At 40.6% G+C, this 22,584-nt stretch overlaps 1 protein-coding gene across 9 annotated transcripts in view, besides 1 other annotated feature; it reads left to right on the forward strand.

The window, feature by feature from the left end:
* CELF2 (CUGBP Elav-like family member 2) overlaps nt 1-22,584 on the forward strand; it is an 874,126-nt gene that overhangs the window by 48,258 nt on the left and 803,284 nt on the right. The window lies entirely within an intron of this gene.
* Nucleotides 17,359-17,860: an enhancer, noted in NCBI's record as "NANOG hESC enhancer chr10:10570129-10570630 (GRCh37/hg19 assembly coordinates)". NCBI's record gives its function as "activates a minimal SCP1, AML or CMV promoter by ChIP-STARR-seq in naive H9 embryonic stem cells {active_cell/tissue: H9 hESC(naive)}" and the evidence as "EXISTENCE:reporter gene assay evidence [ECO:0000049][PMID:30033119]".

Consider the following 22,584-nt stretch of genomic DNA (forward strand, 5'->3'; position numbering starts at 1 on the left):
CAGAAATCTAAATTTAAACTGGAATAAGCCTTGCAAAGATCTGGGGTAAGAGCCTTCTAGATAGGGGGCATAGCAAATGCAAAAGGCTTGAAGGGAGAAGGAGCAAGGGATGTTCCCAGAATACAAAGGCCAGAGGCACTAAAGGGAAAAGGATAAAGGAGTAAGGTGAAAGGGAACTCAGAGAGGTGGCATCAGCAGGCTCTGTGGGCCCCATAGGCCTGCCTGGAGCTTGGATTCAGTTCTGCATGAGATGGAGTGAGTGTCAGGGTTTTGAGCTAGAGAGTTATATGATCTCTTTTACTTTAAAATATATGTATACAGGCTGGGCACGGTGGCTCACGCCTGTAATCTCAGCACTTTGGGAGGCCAAGGTGGACAGATCACCTGAGGTCAGGAGTTCAAGACCAGCCTGGCAAAAATGGCAAAACTCCATCTCTACTGGAAAATACAAAAATTAGCTGGGCATGGTGGTGGTCACCTGTAATCCCAGCCACTGGAGAGACTGAGGCAGGGAGAATTGCTTGAACCTGGCAGGTGGAGGTTGCAGTGAGCTGAGATCATGCCACTGCATTCCAGCCTGGGTGACAGAGTTAAGACTCCATCTCAAAACTAAATAAATAAATAAAATATATGTATACATATATTTTTAATGTGTATATATATTTATATATGGGTGTGTTTGGATTATATTGACTGCTGTTTGGTGAATAAAGTGTAAAGGAAAAAAGCAAAAGTAAGACCAGATAATGATAGTTAAGTAAATAAACTCAGCAGAGACCCTGGGAGCTTTTGTCTTGAAGGCAGTATGTGTAGTGGATATCAGTATAGCTTCACAGCTGCCCACAGTTTAAATGTCACTTCTACTATGAGATCTCGGGTAATTTCTTTCAATCTATCTGCATCTCAGTTTCCTCAACTATAAAATGTAAATAATAATATTACCTACTTCAAGGGTTGTTGTAAGAATCAGATGAATAAATACAAATAGCCACTTCAAACCGCCAGCAGCCCAGTAAGAACCATATCAAGGCCTGCTACTCTTGTTTTCTTTATTGAGGCTACAAATTTGCACTCATAGTCCCCCTTTTCAAATTGATTAAAATATTTTGAAATGCAAACATGATATCTGTTTCTTCTTCGTAAAGAGCCAACACAAGATTGCAAATGTCAGACCTTCAACTGATATCTGTTGAACTGAATTATTGTAACCCTGGAACACAGGGATGTCAAAATCAGTATATTCCAGAAGGACTATGAGGATCTGGCAAAGTATCCTTATTTTTCTCTCTGGGTATTTAATTTTTTATCAACTAATCAGCTCCTTGCTCGAGGGTATAAATGAAACAAGCAAGTAAAGAGCTTGATGTGGATGAAATAGCATGCCTCCTCCTCACTCTGAAGCCTAGAGTGGGAACTCAGTCAATATCTGTGCTGCTGATGGCAACATCTGTTGTGACAGGATTTGGAAGGCATGGCACCACATGTCAACAGTACCATACCATCACAATAGAAAAGAATGAATTCTCTACTGCTGATGCACATTAAACACAAGACCTTCCTTCTGAGAAGCCCAGTCTAGGTACTTTTGGAACGCTTTTTTTTTTTTTTTTTTTTTTTGAGACAGAGTCTTGCTCTGTTGCCTAGGCTGGAGTGCAGTGGCGTGATCTCTGCTCACTGCAACCTCCGCCTCCCAGGTCAAGTGATTCTCCTGCCCTCAGCCTCCTGCCTCAGCCTCCTGAGATTACAGGCATGCGCCACCAGGCCCGGCTAACTTTTTTTGTATTTTTAGTAGGGGTAGGGTTTCACCGTGTTGGCCAGGCTGGTCTCTAACTCCTGAACTCAAATGATCTGCCCACCTCAGCTTCCCAAAGTGCTGGGATTATAGGCGTAAGCCACCGCTCCTGGTCTAGAACTCTTAACAGGATCAATTAAAGACATTTTTATTTCTGCTGTTTGGTCAGTTCCTCCCCTCCTGTTAAGCCACAGTTGTCTCTTTAGTTCCTCTACTGAATTTCGTTTGGCATCAGAAGATTTAAAGATTAGCTATTAGTCCTAGTGGGTGGTCAAATCAATACCCTGGCCACCATCCCAGGCTTAAAAGAAATGCTCTTGGGATGATTTTAGCCCACTGCTTTATAAGAAGCTGCCTATCCCCAAAAGTCAAGGCCCCACAGTTCACTGATACATTCAATACCATGAAAACGGTGCCATGGTGGTGGTTTTCTGGTGATGCACAAGGCTGTTCGGATCACCCACTCCTTCACTGAATGTTCTTGGTTATGCACAATGATAATAATCAGTGTCATTAAAGGATTCAACTTAAGCATTAATAATGGACCAACTTCTGTGTACCTTAGTAGTTTACAGGACACTGGAGATTTTTGCCCCTTTTTTGTTGTTTTTTTTATTGTTATGAACATGCTGTGACATACTGAAGAAGTCGTATCACTCTATCAAATCTAGTAATCAAAGGGTGGCAGCTGTCACAACCACATCATCTTCCCATCTAGTCCTGCTAGACCTGATTTACTGAAAGAGCAGTACTTCTTGTATCCTGATATGATCAGCTTACTAGGATCAGAAGATTTCCTTCTTTGATTTTCTATTTTAAGGCTTTTTAAAAAGGAAAATGAAGGCTATGAATCCATGACAGTAACTACTTCTGTCCAGTTAAATATAATCCTCCTCCTTCATCCAATATAAACTGGGGAAGAGAAAAAATGACATAAACACCAAAAATAAGAGTAGCAAGGAAACCTCATTTTATCCCAGGGCTTCAAGATTTTTTTTTTAGCAGGGTTGCCCACATATAGCAGAAAGTTCAAATTACAGTAAAATATCCAAGATGATAAAATAATCCAAAAGGTGTATCTTAAATCTCTAAATTATACAGCGTTGACTTTTTTAAAAGACTTTTAACTTTTAAAGATATAAACTCGCAGATTTCACTTACAGACCATGCCACATTCTGCATTAGACCCATAGAAGGGACAAAAGCAATATATGTTAGCAAAGCCTGGTTCCCTCTCTATGCAAAGTATAGATCCCTCTCTAAGCAAAGCCTAGGTTTCTCCCTAAGCAAAGCCTAGGTCCCTGTCTAAGCAAAACCTAGATCTCTCTCTAAGCTAAGCCTCGATCCCTCTCTGAGCAAAGCCTAGATCCCTCTCTGAGCAAAGCCTAGACCCTTCCTCTTGCCAGCAATGGAAGAGAGCCTTCCACTTGCTCTCACTTACTCAACACCCTGGAGCCGTCCACTCTGGGTAGATTGCTGACAGGTTTATTCATATTCTTTGCTAAGCACACAGAACTCCTGGGAGCTTTCCAAGATGTTATTCCCAGACCCTCAGGAAATATATGCAAATATGAAGTTCTTGATTTCAAACACTGTAGAATGAGAGATGGTATAACTCAGTTTGGAATATTATAAGTATAGAAGTTTGCAGAGACAATTGGCTATAGAAAGTAGCTCGTTATACTAACTGATCGATTCATGGAATTTTTTTTTTAAATCAGTTGGCCAAGTATGTAACTGACCTACTGGTGAATCCACTTAGTCAAATACTCCTTTTAATAGTTATTGGGGAACATCTGTGGACTCAGCATAATTGAGGTGAGGTAGAGAATAAAGAAAAATGAAAGCGTGGTCCCTGATCACCAGGAACTTACTTGAAGGATGTTAACACAAGAAACAGCAAGCGCAAAGCAGCATGTCATCAAGTGCTGGAAGCTTCCTGGCACTTCCTGAGGGAGGGCTTTGAGCCCTGGCCGAGAGCAGGAGCCTACAGGATAAGCCTGGGAGAGAATGGGATTCAGACGTGGATTCAGACGTGGCAAGAAGAACGATTTGGTTATAATGGCTGATGAGGTTGGAAATAGTCGGTGGTGGATGGGGGTGTGTCTTAAATCTCTAGAGATTTAAGACATTTAAGGCATTGACAACAGAGGTGCTTTTAGGGGCCTCCTCTGAAGAAAATGAATAGCCAGAGATTGTTTAATCCATGGGTTAAACAGAGAATGAACAAATCAAGAGCGTGAGTGTTAATTCCTAAAACCTCTATTGTGTCATGTGGCATGATTCAAATTATTGCTCCCAGATCAATCTTACCGTTCATCTTCTCATCAGTAAAATTGGAATAACCTCTGGAAGCCTTGCAAAGCACAGCTAATTAACATTTATGACAAGTAAGGAGTTATATAACAGGTTATGTAAATGCATCATAGCAGCAAGGACTGAAATGTTTTGCCTGTGGCATTTGGATTTGAAAGGAGATCTCCAAATACAAGAACAAAGCTCCACCAAGTAGGCTGAGAGCTACTAGGGACAGAGGGTCCTGAGCAGGTGACACACCCTCAGAGCTAACTGTGGGAACACCGGACTCTACAATGGCACCTGATCGCCTTTTATAAACTTTGTGCCAAGCTCTCACAATCAATTCTGTATGTGTAATGAAGCCAGAAGACACTAGCTGTGTAAACTCATGAAATCACACAATTCAATTATGTGCTAAAACTAATCATGTTCATACATCTTCCCAAATCCACCATTGGAGTCATATCACATATCTTAATCATGTTGACTAAAGCTCATTCATTGGAGCTGAAATCTCTTCTATTACTATATAGTTTTCAAGCACTGGTATATAGTAGTTGAATATTTATATTTAATAATAAGGAAAAACAAACAAGATTCAGTCTGGTAAAAGACCGAGTGATCCTGAGAGAGCAAAAAGGATCATTTGAACTCAAAAGAATCCTTTTTAGCTCAGTGTCCCACTGTGACTCACTGATACTCTGTTATTATCCCCGTTAACGCCACTTGAAACAAAGAAGGAAAAAAATGTAGCCCAGAGGGAATTCATGACTCAAGGTCACAGTGCAAGACAAGCCAAGTTGGAAAGATCAGGAGTCAGAAATAAGAGATTGCCTCCTGTATCGCCATTTAGTAGGCATGCGAATTTGGGTCAGTCACTAAACCAGTTTCCTTCTCTGAAAAGTAGAGATGCCATATTTTATGGATCCTAAGATGCACATTATTTTTCGCATTGAACATCTCCGAAACAGGGAAACATCTTAATGATGGATGATGTCACTTAATTGGCAACGTTTTTCTTGCTTAGTCATAAATGAAATAATGGTGCGTTTAAAATCCACCAATCTTAGATTTGATAAGAGACGGTAGTAATAACCAGCTCGGGTGAGACTATGTCAGTGTACTACAACCATGGAAAGCAGATACTGGACTGAGGAAATGATTCCAAGCAAAGAAACTCATTTGGTGACTGGCGTTTGCTAGGCTGAGAAAAAGTTAACTTGTTGAAAAAACAAACAAACAAAAGAAAAAACCCTAGTCCTAACTTTTGGACTGCGTGACTATTTCTGACAATCTTAAAATACCAGACTAGGGGTAGGCAATAGGCATCTCTTGGTCAGTGCAAACAAAACAACCAGAAGATTCATGGGATGTATCTGAGAAGTCTATTATTTAAATCTGAATTCCATATTAGCTTGTCATCTTGATATTTTTGACAAGTGCATGTAAGGATTTTTGACACTGAGGAAGTTTCCAATATACTTTTACTATATAAAAAATGTAAAATACATAACTATGTTGCTAAATTGCTACTGTTTATTTTAAGAAATAAAACATTCATCATCTTAAAATTCTGCACTTCTGTACACTGATTGCTATGTGGTAAGGGTGAGGGTAGCAGCAAATTACAGTCAATTCGGCAGCACAGATAAACTGCAGCTGTTTTTAGTTCTGTTTCTGCAACATCCATAGTGGAATTCAGAATTTACTGAGAGCTGGTTTTTCTCATTTTACTGGCAAAAGAATTGCTGGCTTAATTACCCTCGGGGGTCCTGTGTAAATTATGTCCATAGATCTGGAGAGAGAAGATGGCAGAAAATAAATACTCAGCATCATTAAAAAAAAAAAAAGCAAAAATCACCTTGGCTGAGTTTGAGTTCTCTCCCCACCCCTTGCCACCCGGGCAACTCTGGAAGGGGGAGACAAGTCCCTTTCAGTTCTTCTGGAAACTTACTCTTCTCAGACAATCCCTCTCAGCCTGCTGTCTTCATTCCCCATGGACAAACCAGCCTGGCCTTAGAGGGCGGCACCCACCTCTTTTTTCTCCTTCCGCAGCACAGCATGTCCCCTCTTTGAGAGAACCGTAGGATCCCACGCATCACCTTCACTCATTACTGGATGTTGCAGCTACTAGAAGAGCTGTGTGGAAACAGCAGTGCATGAATTTATTGAATTTTTCCCGTGAAAGAAGGACCAGCAACATAATATCTAATATTTATTATTATTACTTTACTCTATGCAATTTATCTCATTTAGGCCCCTTACAATTACTGGAATCATAGACAGGCATGATTAGGGTTATTCTGCATTCAATCGCTATAGCTTGAGGGGGACTCAACTTCAACGGGAGGCTTCCCAGGCTGAGGGGGAACTGGCCTGAAGTGGTAGGAGGTGGCCTCAGTTTCCAGCCAAACCCAGGCAGTCTGATCCTGGAGCCCACACTTTTAATCAGCTTCCTCATGTTCCCCTTCCTGGTATAAGAATTCTGATTACAAGGGAGGAAAGGAAAACACAGAAAGGAAAACAGGGAGGTTGTCAACCCTTCACCACCCTGACCCTGGTCAGCTCCATTCATAACAAATAACAAATAACATCATCACAAATAGGATGTTTTGACATGTGCCTGTCTCCTGGAGTTCAGGCCAATACTCAGGGCCCATATTCTACATCTGAAGCCTGGATCCCTTAGTGAAACGCACTGGAGACATCTGCCCAGGCTGATGTCAGGTCTTAGGAGGCAATTTTCCCTGCAGCATGGGAAGGGTAGGCAGAGGCGATTTTCCCTGCAACATGGGAAGGATAGTCAGAGACAGTAGCGATCAAGGTGTAGCCTCACTAGGTGCCCAGATGCTGCCATAATTCTCAACAGGAGCTCTGAAGCTTGTCCAAAAGCAATCCCACTATGGCAATTATGTGGGAGAGGTTTGCTCTTTGCAAAGAGCTAGCGATCCTGCTGAGGAATTATGTGGTTAATGTGCTAGAAAATTCTTTATAAAATGGCACTTCCTTTTCCGGCTTTCCAGCCTCCCACACCTGGGGCTTGCCAGTTTCTTATATAAATACAATGGCCTCCCTGGCACTGCTGGATTTCATTTCCATTGAAAAGGTGACAAACCACGTTACAACCACCCACCATCTCCTTGAAACCCACCCAGCTGTCTGAACGTCTCATTCAGGCTTAGCATTTCCTGCATGGTGCTAAGTTACCAGACGACTTCTCAACAATAACACCCAGCCCAGCTTCTACCATCAACCCATTCTGAATTCTGGAATTCTGAATTCCACTGTGGATGTTGGCTCTTGCTGTAGCATCTTAATCTTTGTTTATTTCCCTAATGTAATTGAAGCTCTTCTGAGTTCAACTCTCCTAAGCCCTGCACTCTACCTGAAAATGGACTTGAGACAAATACTGAGCTTTCTTCAGCCCAAGCTCCACACAGTTGTGTGTCTGCATTTTGTGTGGGACGCTGAAATGGTGATAAAGGAAATAGACAGTAGATGGCAGGAGATTGTATTTCACCTTCCTGGTTTGCTACTGTGTGACCTTTAATAAGCTGCTTAACCTGTCTGAGTTCTGGGTTCCTCATGGAGAGTGAAATGGGATCTTTAGTATTATGATTCTATAATCTCAAACATGGCAAGAGTAGGAATTCTCTCTTATCATCTTAGCTGCAAAGTATTAACCAAGATGCAGTAAAATTCTTAATGAAATACTAAGTGCTGATGTACCAAATCTAAAAGAAGCTAATGTTCTCAGCTAATAGTGGCACCAATTTTTTAATGGTGGACATCAGAGTAGATATAACATACCACAAAATGATTTTTTTTTAAAAAAAAATGGCTTCATAGTCAAAGAAATATGAAGGGGCCACTTGTAAGGATGTCCTATTGGTGACCCAGCTTCCAAAAGTGCAGAGGAGGACAAGTTGGCTGAGAGGCCACCATCTAAGAAAATCAATTTATTCATGTAATTGGGACAGCACATTGCTGGGAGCTGAGGTGAGCCCAGTGGAGCTTTCTAAGCAGACAACAATTTGTCAGGACTTCAGACCAAAAAGAATCAGGAAGGGAATGAATAAGAGCCAAGTTTTAGGAAGAATAAACAGAATACCAGGAAGTCAATCAAAAAATAACATAGGATGATCTGAGACTCGATATGAATAACAATCTGAGGACAGACCAGTTTGGATTTTCAGGGAGGTGACCCAAGCCATAAGCTAGGAACAGAATTTAGCAAAATGGAATTGGCTAAAGTGTCAGAACAGGAGTCAGGCAAGATATTTGCCTGTCTGGGTCCAGGTTCTACATGTTCATGAAGCAGAGTCGAGGCTGATCTCTGGAAATGGTTGCTTGTTAAAGGGCCAGTCTCGGGAAGTTCCATTACAATAGCAACCTATAAATGCTTTGAATAAATCTTCTATGCAAATGAATATAGCCTAATATTAGGCTAAATCAAAGAAAGAATCCAGAATTGTAAAAAATGACATGACCCAAGACATTGCTTTTGACAGTTTTTGTGATGGCATGGAAGATGTGCCTGTACTACTAATATTAAAGATAACATTATAGAAGCTTTGGAACCTCACAAGTCAACTAACTTGACTTCCTAGTGATAGAAAAAGAAAAGAAAAATAGTCCTGACAGATGTATCCTGTGAAAGCCAAATGCTGAAAATTAAAGAATGCCTGCAATGTTCCTGTCGGGTTCCATTCTCCTCAAAGCTTTCTTAGAAGTAAACAATTTCGGGTTGTTGTGTTTATGAAAACCACCTCCCAGATGCTGAGCTAGGCCAAACCACAAGACTGGTCATGGGTTGAAAGACAAATGAAAATGGTGAGTTGGACCCCGTGAAGGTTGCCTTTACCTGCGTTCACCATTAAACCAGCAAGCACTCAATTCAAAAGGCACGTGAGATGGGGAAGGGTTAAGGCTGTCTGTCTCCCTTGTTATTCAAAGAGTGCCAGAGGTGGTCTCACAGTTTTAGGAGACTAAGAAATCCTTCTGTTTAGATGAGCCCCAGACCTCTGGATGTTTATTGCATGTTGTAAGGTTCAGCTGCAGAGAGGATGGCTGTCCTCCTGCCCAGCCTCCCTTATTGCCAGCCAGGGAAATCTGCACTATGGTTCCTGACCTCAGTGTTCCATCTTCCTCTTCATAATGGGATCTACTAAATCTTGCAATGTACCCAGCCAGATAGTAGACTACCATGGAAGAATAAAACCTGCTTTGCATTTTTTAAGTGAAACATTAGATTGTCCCCAGAACACTTTATAAAGATTTCTTAAAAGACCTATGGAGAAACCTGAAATTTCTATAAATTTTTATGGATGCAAGAAAGGACAAGAAGAGCTGCTATGAAAGACCCTTTTATACCTGACCCTGGTTCAACATTCACTGATGTCAACAAAGGATACCACTCAAGACCCAACAATATCCAGAGCAAGATGACACCATGGCAAGCTGTCCAGCCTCCAGGGTTAGGGGTAGGTAGACTTTCCAGAAAATACTGTCATGTTTTACAGTTTGAGCTAAGCACTGGATACCACAAGAGCCAAATATTCCTGTTCTCCCAATACTTAAGAGCATGTCCTCGAGCTTCTACTCAGCTAGTGATTCAATGGAGAGCAAAACCCACGCTGAGCTTTGAGCTGCCAGAATGAAATGACATGTAAAGGGAAATGAGGGCACGCTGCTGAAGGCAAGGGCAAGAGAATAGGGCAGGCGTAATAGGGGAACAGCAGCCGGAAAGCCAAAGCACAATATGAGATGCAACCAGCGAGAGAAACAAAGGGCAGCCAGACGATATTTCACAAATACATTAGGAACAAGACAAAGGAGAATGTAGACCCGCTAATTAGTAGGGAGGGAAAACAAATAGCAGATGCATCAGAAGGCTTGAGCTTTTAATACCTATTATGCTCTAGGCTTCACAGAAATGGTTAGCTATCATCAGAAGCGGAATATAAACCACAGTAATGAGCATATGGGGGAAAAAAAGGGGAAGTTTAAATGGAAACCAAACAGATTAGTAACTACTTAGTCAAGCTGGATGGTTTCAAATCAGGTCCTGAGAAGAGTCACAGTGCTATGGTAACCAAACTAGCTTATGAAATGCAAGTCCCTGTTAAAATTTCTGTTGAAGGAGTGGAAAGATTTCAGGTTGCTGAATCTGAGACAAGCAGGGTCAGCACTGAGCAAGAGGAAACAGAAGGTGGCTCGAAACAAGAGTGTTGACCATCAGAGAAGCACAGGTATCCCCTGCTGTGTGATAGTAAAGGTGAATTAAAGACAGTGAGTCGTTTGTCCCAGACTAAAACCAGAGCTATGACGACTCAGTGAGCACAGTTACCGCAGATCAACAAGGGTATGACATCCTGGAAGTACCATATTCCAAAACAGAGCCACCATGTCTCAGTAAATATGTCAGGCACTTGACCAAAGAGGGCAGAATTGGGAGCCTCCAAAATGCCTGGGAAGCTATTGAGGCACAGTCTTGGAAAGCTAAGTCAAGGTTCTGTGCCTTCAGTTTTCAGATTAATCATAGCAATTATTCTTTATTAATAGTATTTCAGATTAATAGCTAAAACAGTTTTCATCCCTCCTCCATGTCATGCACTAGGCTAAGTACTTTTAATGCATTTTTAATTTAATTTTCTCAGTAAACTGCTAGATCCTGTTATTACCTGTGTTTTTTAAGCTTTTAACTCCCTTGAGCCTCAGATCTTCATGTAACTCGTCTGAAGTGGTAGAGCCAAAATGGTGAAAGAAAGGGGAGCGGCTGTGTTGATCTGCTTGTTTACTTGCTAACCCTAAGCTGTAAAAATTGATACAACTTCCTTGAGTTGTTAGCTAAAGCAAAAGACATGACAGTTAATTTATTATTTGATTCTTTTCATCAATGTGTAACTCCAAGGATTCTGCGAAAATGTCTGTGCTACTTTTTTAAAGCCATAAGCAGATGTGTTACTTTAACAGCTAAAAACCAGGGAACTCTACATACTCATGACATCCTTCTCTAACTACCAGATAATGAGGACGGAATGAATGGGGGTAACGGGGCTCTGCTGGTCCACACCTGGCTGCAGCTAATGAGCAAGGATGGCCATGGTCCAGCTGGGGTTTCAAGACGTGGCATCTCCTGGTGAAGTCACCTTTATCTGGGGCAGGGATGACAAAACCTTGCAACTTCCTCACATCTACTGCACCCATGGCAAATATTTCTAAATAATCCCAGTAATCTTTTTCTTGGAGCCAAAATGGGACCCAAGAGCCCTTCTCCACATGTTGTTTGCAAAAATACTTCGAAGTATTCTATGGAGTAATTCTTCCTGTTATCAAGATATCGAAAGTAGCAGCCAATTGACCTTCCTGTTTTAATTTTTTATAACCATTCATCCAACCAACATTAGGAAATATTGAGCCTAAACAGACAAACTAGATGTCTCTGCCATCTCTTCCCAATCTTCGGCATGCCGATTGGAATTGCGTTCATGAATACATGAAATGTGCACGAACATGGATTTAATATACAATATTTTCCAAATGTAGGAATCACCGGAACCATGTTCTCACAGAGCACGTACCATCTACAGGGCACTCCAAGGTACATATTTTTGAAAAGTCAAGAGCACATTCCTGGTTAAGAAACCAGAAGGTGGTGGTGGTTGTTGTTGTTATTATTTATTTGAGATGGAGTTTTGCTGCTCTTATTGTCCAGGCTGGAATGCAATGGCGCAATCTTGGCTCACAGCAACCTCTGCCTTCTGGGTTCAAGCAATCCTCCTGCCTCAACCTCCTGAGTAGCTGGGATTACACGCACATGCCACCATGCCTGGCTAATTTTTATATTTTTAGTAGAGATGGGGTTTCATCATATTGCTCAGGCTGGCCTCAAACTCCTGACTTTAAGTGATCCACCTGCCTCGGCCTCCCAAAGTGCTGGGATTACAGGCATAAGCCACCGTGTCTGGCCACCAGAAGGTTACTATTAATCATATGTAATGTGCTTCATCTTTGGAAGGCATTTAGTATGTGGTCAGCCCTGGATTAAGTTCAGGACAGAGCCAAGCAAACGGAAAAGGTGCTCAGAGTTGAGGTCCAGACCACAGAGTTGGAACTCTTCCAGTTTCTCCTGCTAAAAGTAAGGTTTGATTCTGGGACTTGGGCAGAATGGAGCCCACCTATGGACCGTCAAATGTGTCTACCTCTGGAGAGATGAGTCAGGGAAGAGCTGGCAGTCAAAGGTGACCCTACAGATCAACCTACCAGATTCTTACAATCTGAATTGAATTTCTCTCCATTTCTCTTGATAAGCTCCACACAGTGACTTCAAGCCATCGAGGTTTAATGTAAGTTAGGAGGTTATGAGTTTCTTTAGCAACACTCTAGGCTTGACTATACCTATATCTTTCAATAGATATTGGGAACATTTTAGATACTTCAGCTAAATGTATTTAAATGATTTTTTAAATGGGATATTATGCAGATAGATGTTTACATTCATTTACTTCAACTTTTATTGTATTAACAGTCAGGAGGTGACCTGTCATCAGAATTTGGAAGTATCTTACTATAGTGCTGTATACATTTACAGACATTATGACTGGGGAGGTGGTGAAACCTTGTAAGCTTGCTATAAAACCAGCACAGAAAGACCCCTTAGACTCTCACTGAGGCTGAAATTTCTGAGAATCTAAATTAGAAGTAAGTTGATCCTTGCAACGGGGCTGGGGACATCATGAATCCTTTCAAATTCCATTCAGCTCACTCTTTCCCTTAATAAACACTTATTGAACACATTTTCCATTACAACTAGGGATGCAACAATAAAAACAGAGCATGGCTCCTGCCCTCACAGAGCTCATGATCAAGTGCAATGTCAGTGGTTGGGTTGTGCAGGGGTGGGGAGAGCCTTCCATGTTGCAGTTGAAGAGTTACCAACAGTGTTCATTTATTAAATGGAAGGCCACATACTTTAGTCTGCTTGATCACTCAAAACAACGAGAGCATCTTAAGCCTGTGAATGGCACCATCCACCTTGCAGTTCAAGTTCTTCAGCCAGCAACATTGCTACAACCTCAAATTTATATAGATAAACTGTATGTGTTAATGATTTAGGCAGATTTAGCTTCAATTAAGCACAGACAACTAGAAGTTGTGCCCAGAGATACGTAAGCTGTGTGCCCCCACTTAGTAGGAAAGACTTTCAGTGAATGAAGTCTTCTATAGACAGGTGGTACCTAAAATAATAAGAAATGGGGGAAGATGAAAATCATAGCAAATGGAAGGAATAAGAAAGAAAACTAGGGTGGCAATGTCTAGTGGGTAGCATCAAGAGACATTTTCTCTTGAAGTAAATATGTTTCTAAGAGGGCAAAGCTCATAGAAGTTTAAAAGATTATGTTCCTTCTGGGTTTATGCACATGTGCACAGATCTCTTCCTATTTGTGTAGATACATTTTGCAGAAGAATCTAGGAGATTCATAGATCTTAAGGCTACAGTTAGGCCCTATCTAGTATGAACACAGGTTCACAGGCCTCTGAATAAGCATGCAGTCATTGTTAACATAGGATTGAGTTATGGGGACTGTGGCCATTTGTATGCTATTGCCACATGAAAACAGCCAAGTGCATTGAAAGCATTCCATGACCTTAATTTTAAGTTGCTTGAAAGGAGAGTTCACTTTCATAAATAAAAATGTAGAAGATAGGCTTTCGAATTGATAGAATTTCTCTCTCCAATACCTTCAAGAATGGGTAAGCATTTTTTAAAGGTTTTAAGCACTATCTTCTATTTTTTATCATAGCAGTATTCAAATGATGCCTCACACTTTGATTGAGCATGTTCTTTTGAGTTGAAAAATTACCAAGGTCATTTTCAAACTTTGGATGAAATGAGTTTTTGTTTAGAAATATAGCACGTGTATTTCTGGAGGAGAGGGGCCCTATTCATCACTTGTTTCATGCCTGGAAGCCAAGAAAACTCTCACGGAGACAGCAATTAAGTAAATATGCATGTATGCATATATGTTTCTGATAATATCGCTCTAGTCCTAATGTAGAGGGTTCTTAGATTATAGTGTATACAGGTGTGTACATATAGGTGTACACTGTCATCTTTCATTTTATTGTATGTACTTATGGGATACAGTGCAATGTTTGGATATTTGCATACGTTGTGGAATGATTAAATCAATCTAATTGGCATCACCTCACAACGGGATCAGTTTTTTTCGGTGAGAACAATTAAAATCTATGCTCTTAGCAATTTTCAAGTATATCATACGTTGTTAATAACTGCAGTCACCACGCCATACAGTAAAGCTCCACAGTTCATTCTTCCTGCCTTACTGAAACATTATACCCTAGACCAAGCCTGTCCAACCCACGACCCACAGAAAGCCCAGAACAGCTTTGAAGGTGGCTGACACAAATTCATAAACTGTCTTAAAACCTGATGAGATTTTTTTGCAATTTTTTTTTAGCTCATCAGGTATAGTCAGTGTATTTTATGTGTTGCCCCAGGCAATTCTTCTTCCAATGCATCCCAGGGAAGCCAAAAGATTGAACATCCCTACCCTAGACCAACATCTTTCTAATTCCCCTCTCCTTCTGACCCCGTGTAACCACCATTCCACCCTCTGCTTCTATGGTTTCAACATTTTAGATTCTACCTGTAAGTGAGACCATGCAAAATTTGTCTTTCTTTGCCTGGCTTATTTTAATGTCCTCCAAGTTCACCCGTGTTGTCACAAATGGAAGAATTTCCCTCTTCTTTAAGGCTGAATAGTATTGGGTTTTGCATATAGACAACATTTTCTTTATTCATCCACCGATGGTCACTTAGGTTGATGGATTCCGTATCTTTCCTGTTGTCTAAAATGATGTGGTAAACATGAGAATGTCTTCCACATACTGATTGCATTTTCTTTGGATATATACCCAGTGGTGGATCATACTGGATCATATGATAGCTCTATTTTTAATTTTTTGACAAACTTCCATCCTGTTTTCCATAATGGCTGTACTAGTTTACATCCCCACCAACCATATACAATGGCTCTCTTGATTCTACATTCTGCCAACGTGTGTTGTCTTTCTGATTAAAGCCATTCTAACGGGTGCGAGGTGATAGCTCATTGTGGTTTTAATTTGCATCTCCCTGATGATTAGTGATGCTGGCATGTTTTTTCACATATAGATGTTGATGTATTTCTAAGTTGCTTAGCTCTTTTAGAAAGTTAAAAACACTAGCTCAATAGACCTGTTAGATTTTTATTCTGGTTTTCAACCAAGTATCTATGCTTTTCTGCTCAAACTATCACTGCAAAGATATTATAGAATCAAAAATAATAGGCTGTCACATGAAAAACAATGTTCTAATAAAAAATTATGGATTTATTGCATAAACATTTCCCTGAAGATCTCTTTTCTAGAATTAAAACTTCAGATAAAGTCACACAGAGTAACATCACAAGGAATGTTACAAAAGAGTGGGAGGGACTGGCTTTCTCACCTTTCTGGTGACTACTCAGCTTGTTCCAGACACCTTTAATTGTTGTCATTTAATATGCTTCCCTTTGTCTTCCTTTGCCACTCCCCATAACCTGCCTGGGTGACCTTATACGCATCAGGTACTGATGGCTGTAAACTAGCCCTTAGGTCTAGACATGTAAATTCAACTCCCTCCTGGACTTCTCAAGTCAACAGCCAACAGGCATCTCAAAGTCCACCTCATGCCCATTCTGAGCTCATCACCCACCAACTCCAACCTCTGTCACTTCCAACTCTTTTTCACTCAACAAATGTTTGTTGAATACACAAATGGATGATCTTCAAAAAGTGCTACAAAAGGAATATCATAGAGAAGACAGCATTGATTTCTGTATCTAATGGCACTTAAAATGGCTGGGTCCTTTCTACAGAACGTTGTTCCTTCTCTCCCTGGAGGTCACAGGCTGAACAACCACTCAGAGCTGGACTTCTGGACACCTAAGCAAAGAAGGAAGTCCTACCCTTGGACCACAAGAGGCTGCATTAAACTTGCACCACAGTTGTTTATAAATCAGCAGCAGCAGTTTGAGCTGCTCAGGCAAAATGTTATGGTTTCATTACAAGTGAAAACAATCCAGATGTGTTTTTTTGCATAAACACATGAAAAAGGGTTAATATTCGGTTGATCTTCTTTCACCACTGCAGTACTCCAATGATGTCACACCCTGTTTGAGGCCGTGGAGCTGACCTGCTCTTAATTAACCATGCTGGCTCTGTGCAGTGGCTCACGCCTGTTATCCCAGCACTTTGGGAGGCCGAGGCGGGTGGATAACTTGAGGCCAGGAGTTCAAAACCAGCCTGGCCAACATGACGAAACCCCATCTCTACTAAAAATACAAAAAAAATTAATTGGGCATGGTGGCATGCGCCTGTAGTCCAAGCTACTCAGGAGGCTGAGGCAGGAGAATCATGCTTGAACCTGGGAGGTAGAGGTTGCAGTGAGCTAAGTTCATGCCACTGCTTTCCAGCCTAGACGACAGAGCAAAACTCTGTCTCAAAAAAAAAAAAAAAAGTAACCAGGCTATAGAGTTTAAAAATAAAAGTATTAATAATCACGGGGTTCCATTTAAAGATAACATACACCATGGAATATATTTGACTCTTCCAAATCAATCCAGTACTTGAGTTTTTTCTAAGTGATGCTTGAATTTCAGGCAGAGGTCTTTACCTTATTATAATATGGCCTGGACCTTAGAGGATACACTGGAGACTCCAAGCCATCTCTAGCAGTGATTGAAGAACCAGTCATTGCCTCCAATAGGTGACAACAGTTCTTTATGCGGAAGAAAATACTGTTGCTTACATAGTTGTTCTCCTCTGGGGCTTTGACACCTTTGGAAGAAAAGCACATACACAGGGCCAAGCTTTAGTGAGGGACTGTCTAGATGCAATCCTAAGAGACTGACACTGTGTATAATTCTAACTCAAGTAAGCTTTCATCTCAGGGAAACTAGCAGATTCATTGACATTTACACAGAGCTTTTTCATTTCATTTTGAAAGGGCTTTTCCACACATTACTTCATTCAGTCCTCAGAGCGTTTAAATGACCTACCCAAGATCACACAGTTAAATGACCTACCCTCAGATAAGAGCCCAGGCCTGCAGATGTCTAACTCATCCTGCAACATTCTTAACCAAACCAGCTCGCCAGATGTGCTTTCAATTTACAGATGCCTGAATTTCCACAGCTGAAGATAGATTCCTGTTTTGTGTGTGTGTGTGTGTGTGTGATTGTCATAAAGTTAATACAGCAGAAAGGAATAAGTAAATTCTCCAAGCTTTCTGGGAGTAGATGATAATAAGCTGGAAGCCATAAAGAACAAAAGGCACAGATTGCTGGGAGGGCAGAAAGAAGGTGAGTGTGGGCTGAGAAAGGGGATCCTGGAGCTGCAGACACCTTGGCCTTCTTCACCATGACCCTGTAGGCTGGTTGCTGTTGACATTTAATGCTATTGTGGAAGGCTTCCTGCAAAACAAACAGCACCTACATAACAAGAGGGAAGTCTCAAGCTTAGAGAACTGCTTCTTGAACCTAAGACATTAATATGTTAATCTACTCCCCCTAAATTAGCTGAAGACCACAGAGGTGAGCATGCACCCCACTTAAGAGTCTGCCTGTAGTGCTGGCCTGCCTCTTTGCTCAACAGATCCCCAGCCCACACTTGGTGATTCTTCCTCTTGCATTTACTGAGTGGTGATCTTTTCTATGACCGCTCATCCTGCAGAAGTGGTGTTGTGTCATTGCATGCAGCAATACTTCTTTAAGATCTTTTATCACCAAATAAGTGAAAGGAGAATGCAGATAATTCACTCATGACTCATTGTTATGGAAGGGACTTAAAGAAAAAAGTTTATTTTGATCTTCAAAGGAAGAATTTGTCCTCTAAAACTTTATCATTATTAATATTGGTTTTATTTTGACGCGATTATTTACCAGGAGTAGCTATCATAGCACAGCCAAGAATGGTAATTGAATGAAGAATTGATTTTTATTTCCGCTATGTAAAAAGCAGCTCTTATTTTCTACAAATGACCCATAATTACAGTTGTCTGGAGAGTGTCTTATCAGCCTGAGCAGGATAGAAATAAGCTAGATATACAATAGTACTTCCTAGTCTACAATTTAAATATGTATGCTCATTAATGGCAATTTAAATTAGCATTATAGCAAATGTAGTTCATATCACTCTCCTGGGCAGAGTCTAGCAATGCAGACACGGCCTGTATTTCTGCTCTGTAAAATTCAGAGGAGCCTAGTGTGTTCTTTTTAGTGGATGGAGATTCTGTCACTCTTCCCACACCAGTATTTGGCTAATAAACTCTTAAGCAGCTGTCATGCAGCAGGAAGGAATGAGAAAATTCTCCAAGCTTTCTGGGAGTAGATGATAATAAGCTGGAAGACATAAAGAACAAAAGACACAGATTGCTGGGGTAGAAAGAAGGTGAGTGTGTTGGCAGGGCACAGTGGCTCACACCTATAATCCCAGCACTATGGGAGGCCAACGTGGGCGGATCATGAAGTTAGGAGTTCAAGACCAGCCTGGCCAACATGGGGAACCCCACCTCTACTAAAAATACAAAAATTAGGTGGGTGTGGTGGTGCGCGTCTGTAATCCCAGCTACTCAGGAGGCTGAGGCAGGAGAATTACTTGAACTCGGAAGGCGGAGGTTGCAGTGAGCCGAGATTGTGCCACTACACCCCAGCCTGGGTGAGACAGCAAGACTCCATCTCAAAAAAAAAAAAAAAAAAAAAAAAAAAATGGTGAGTGTGAAGCAATCTTAAAGATTAGTGAATTATTTGCTAAGGGAAAATGAAGCCTAACCCTGCCTCAGTCAGAACACTAAATAATTTTGGTATAATAAGGATGACAAAGATGTTCTACCCCAGAATCCACATCAGTGGCTATGAACAGACTCCAAGGCAGTGCCACCATCTTTAGGCTGTGGCTTAGCAAGAATTTAAGAACGTTCCTTTGTTCTCAAGAGAATGCCCAAGGCTTGTAGAAGCTGAACAGTTTCTGCAGTTGCTCTGATGCCCAGATGGGAGATGAGAGGTGTACTCATTGATTTTCCCCACTCACCATTCCCCTTCACACACAAATGTTACAGGAAAGGGGTTCCGATCCAGACCCCAAAAGAGGGTTCTTGGATCTCATGCAAGAAAGAATTCAGGGCTAGTCTGCAGTGCAAAGCAGAAGGAAGGTTATTAAGCAAGTAAAGTGATGAAAGAACAGCCTCTCCATAGACAGAGTAGGACGTTCCCAAAAGTAAGAGGAGGAATGAGTCCACCCTAGGTACGATGCTTGTTTTTATACAGGATAAAAAGATTGTGAGGAGATGTGCTCTGCTACAAGGGTTTGTGATAAAGGATTAATTTCTTAATTACTATAGTTTGCAAGAATAAATATTATTTTTAAAGCAAAATTAGGAATGTTTTTGTTGTCAAGATACTGAAATATTAGGACACTCCCAAGTCTGGGTCTGTTTAGTAAACGTTATCAATCTGTTCCCTTAACCATAAACATCTAGAAGCTAGGAATGCCTAACTTTCTGGGAACACAGCCCAGCAAGTCTCAGCCTCATTTTTGTAGGCCTCACCCAAGATGGAGTTGCTCTGGTTTGAATGCCTCTGACACAAATATACACATACAATCCAAGGACTCTTCCTCTGGGTGTCTGAAAGCCCTCTTTGCTCTTTCCTCTTTTGCGGAAATTATTCTGAGTTAACATAAAACTATCACGTATTGATACCTGGTTACCTACAAAGGTGTTTAAAAACAGTGAGTGCTGAGATGGGTCCATTGAAAGAAGAAAGATTTCTGAAGTGGCCAATATGTCATGCTCTTCACTAATTCTTCTTAAAAATTATTTTCAGTGTCAATTTGGTACTTTTTAAATTTTAGATGCAGAATAGAATGGTCTTTTTAATGCCGTGTCTTCAAATTACATAGGCGTAAACCAGAGGGTGGACATACACCTGCAGCTGGTGACTGCTCGTAGTATTTATAATGCAAAACAGCTAATTAAGATGATGGTCAAGTGGTAGTTTTCTGCTGATATTAGCACATAAAATCATGGTTGTGTCTCTCTGTGCTTTCACCCTGTTACAGTACCAGCAAGCTAAAAATCAATGCTTGATGTCAACACTAGATCTTTCCAAAATATACTAGCCACATCTTCGAAAGAAATACATTTGAATTGGCATCCGCTTGTGGTCACACATCATCCCAGTCTAAACTGATATTCCTTTAAAACCACAGTTTCTCAAGTGGGCCCTGGGGAACACCTACGTCAGAAACAAGTTCAGACATTTTTTAAGATACAGGTAACTTGATTGAACTCTGGATGTAGTAGATTAGGTTTGAGAAATCTGTATTGTAACAGCAGCCCCCAGGTGATTTTAATCACGCTCTAAAACAAAATTGAGTAACTTGACCAAGGTCTTGTAGTATCCTTATGATAATAAAATAACCAATGATTTTATTAAATCGTTCATAGGACAAACAGTTCTATGAAGGGAAAATAATGTTATGAGACTGGGATACCTGACCATATCCTCCAGTTCCTGACTTCACATCCTATTCTGAATCAGTCTCTTTGGACTCCAACACCAGCCCCTCCTTTATCTCCCACACTGAGCCGCTCTACCCAGGTCATGAGGTACTTCCTAAGCCAGGTGCACTCTTCACTTAGCATCCTGATCTGTGTGTGAATTCTGCGGGAGGAAGAGGTTGATGGTAAAGTCTACAAGTTCAATTTCTCTTCTCACTTCTGTTTGATAAATTTTGAATCAGAATTAATCATCTCTACTAAAGTAAACTTTTAGAGATTGTTTAATTGGAAACTCATCATTTTTAGAAATAAAAGGCAATATCAATCCTGATGATAGTCAGCACTCTGTGGTCCCACAGACAGGAGCAAATGGTGTTGGGAACAGGCCCTGGCCTGTCCTGGTGCTCCAGTCCCTCTCATGGTATTACAGGTGCATTAATGGCTATATTGACTCTACCTTACGAGAAAAACAATAAGTAGAGGATTGACTGGGTGCTCAGACAGCCTTAAACAAAGGTGGCTGAGAGTGAGGAAAGTACACAGAATTTTAAGCCTCAAGTATTCCATATTTGCCTAACGGCAATGTGGTGAAAGGTACTCAAGTTCTTTCAAAAGACAGGCAACATCTTTGCAACCCTTTCTGTTACCATTGGGTTTGAGAAGTGCTCAAGTGGACAAAGTCTACTCAACAAAATTCATTTGACGCTACTGTAAAACTCCTTGGCCACAAATTTGGAAAGTTTTTAGTAATCATTTGTTCCCAAGATTTAATTAAAATTTAAGCCACACATCTGTTTGAAAACATATCAGCAGAGATTCAGATGCTTGTTGCTGGGATGATGATTGACAGGGAGGAACAGATTGACTTGGCATATATGTAGAACTCATTAATCTTCTTCAAGTACATTCCTGGGAAACATGGAGTTCTCTCAACAAGCTGTTACCAAAGCAGCACTTTCATTTGCACAGTTGGAACCCTAAGAGTTTAAGTGGAAGTCACAAGTTAAGGGAGGAAGGCAAAGTGTATTGTGATAAAGTTTTCTGTGATTATATAATCTTACATTGAGAGCAGCAGAACGTTAGTTAAATAATATCACAGCCTTGCTCCAGTTCCTATAGTCTTAATATCTAAATAGGATACAGCCAACTCTAAGGTCAGTCTTAGATATCACTTGTTAAATGAGGATCATTAACTGCTTCCAAATTTTGTATCTCTTTTAGGTATTTATCTTTGTATTTCAAAAGGAATGTTAATTTATTCACTAGAGACCAGGGAGCCTTCTAAGCTACCTTGGTTTATCACTGGAAGATTAAATGCTAAAATGATACAAGAGAAAAAAAATTAAAGATGAAGCTATCCTCTTCTCAAAGAGACAAAATCTCAAAAAAAAAAAAAAATAGAGAGCAACCCCACTCAAGAAGACATCTTGCAAATATTGGCGGGAGAGTTGGGTTGATGGGAATTTTCATGAACTTAGCATTTCTGGCTTCGTGCTTTCTCTGAGTGCTGTCTCTGCAAATTTAAATCCATCTTATTTCAGAATGCTGGGTTTGTAACTGAGAAGAAATAGTGCAGATGGCTAAATTATGCTCACTTGTTCAAAACCATGACAACTTACCATAATATAGCTGTAAACACCTGAAATTAATTAGAGTACATTTCAATGTGGAGAGTATGATTTACAGTATGGGCTTAAATACAGAGATGTGTTTTGATTTCAAGTCATCACTTCTTATTTTACCTATAAATGTTGATTAAACAGAGTTTGTTTTGTCTTTTAATGAAGATGATTTTTAAGGGTCAAGGGGAGGAGCATAGAGTCCAATATTCAGAGCATATACATTTTAGAAGAACGAGAGTACAATTTTCTTAAAATTGTGATACAAA

This window comes from Homo sapiens, chromosome 10 (assembly GCF_000001405.40).
Source record: "Homo sapiens chromosome 10, GRCh38.p14 Primary Assembly".
In the NCBI taxonomy this organism is placed as follows: Eukaryota; Metazoa; Chordata; class Mammalia; order Primates; family Hominidae; genus Homo; species Homo sapiens.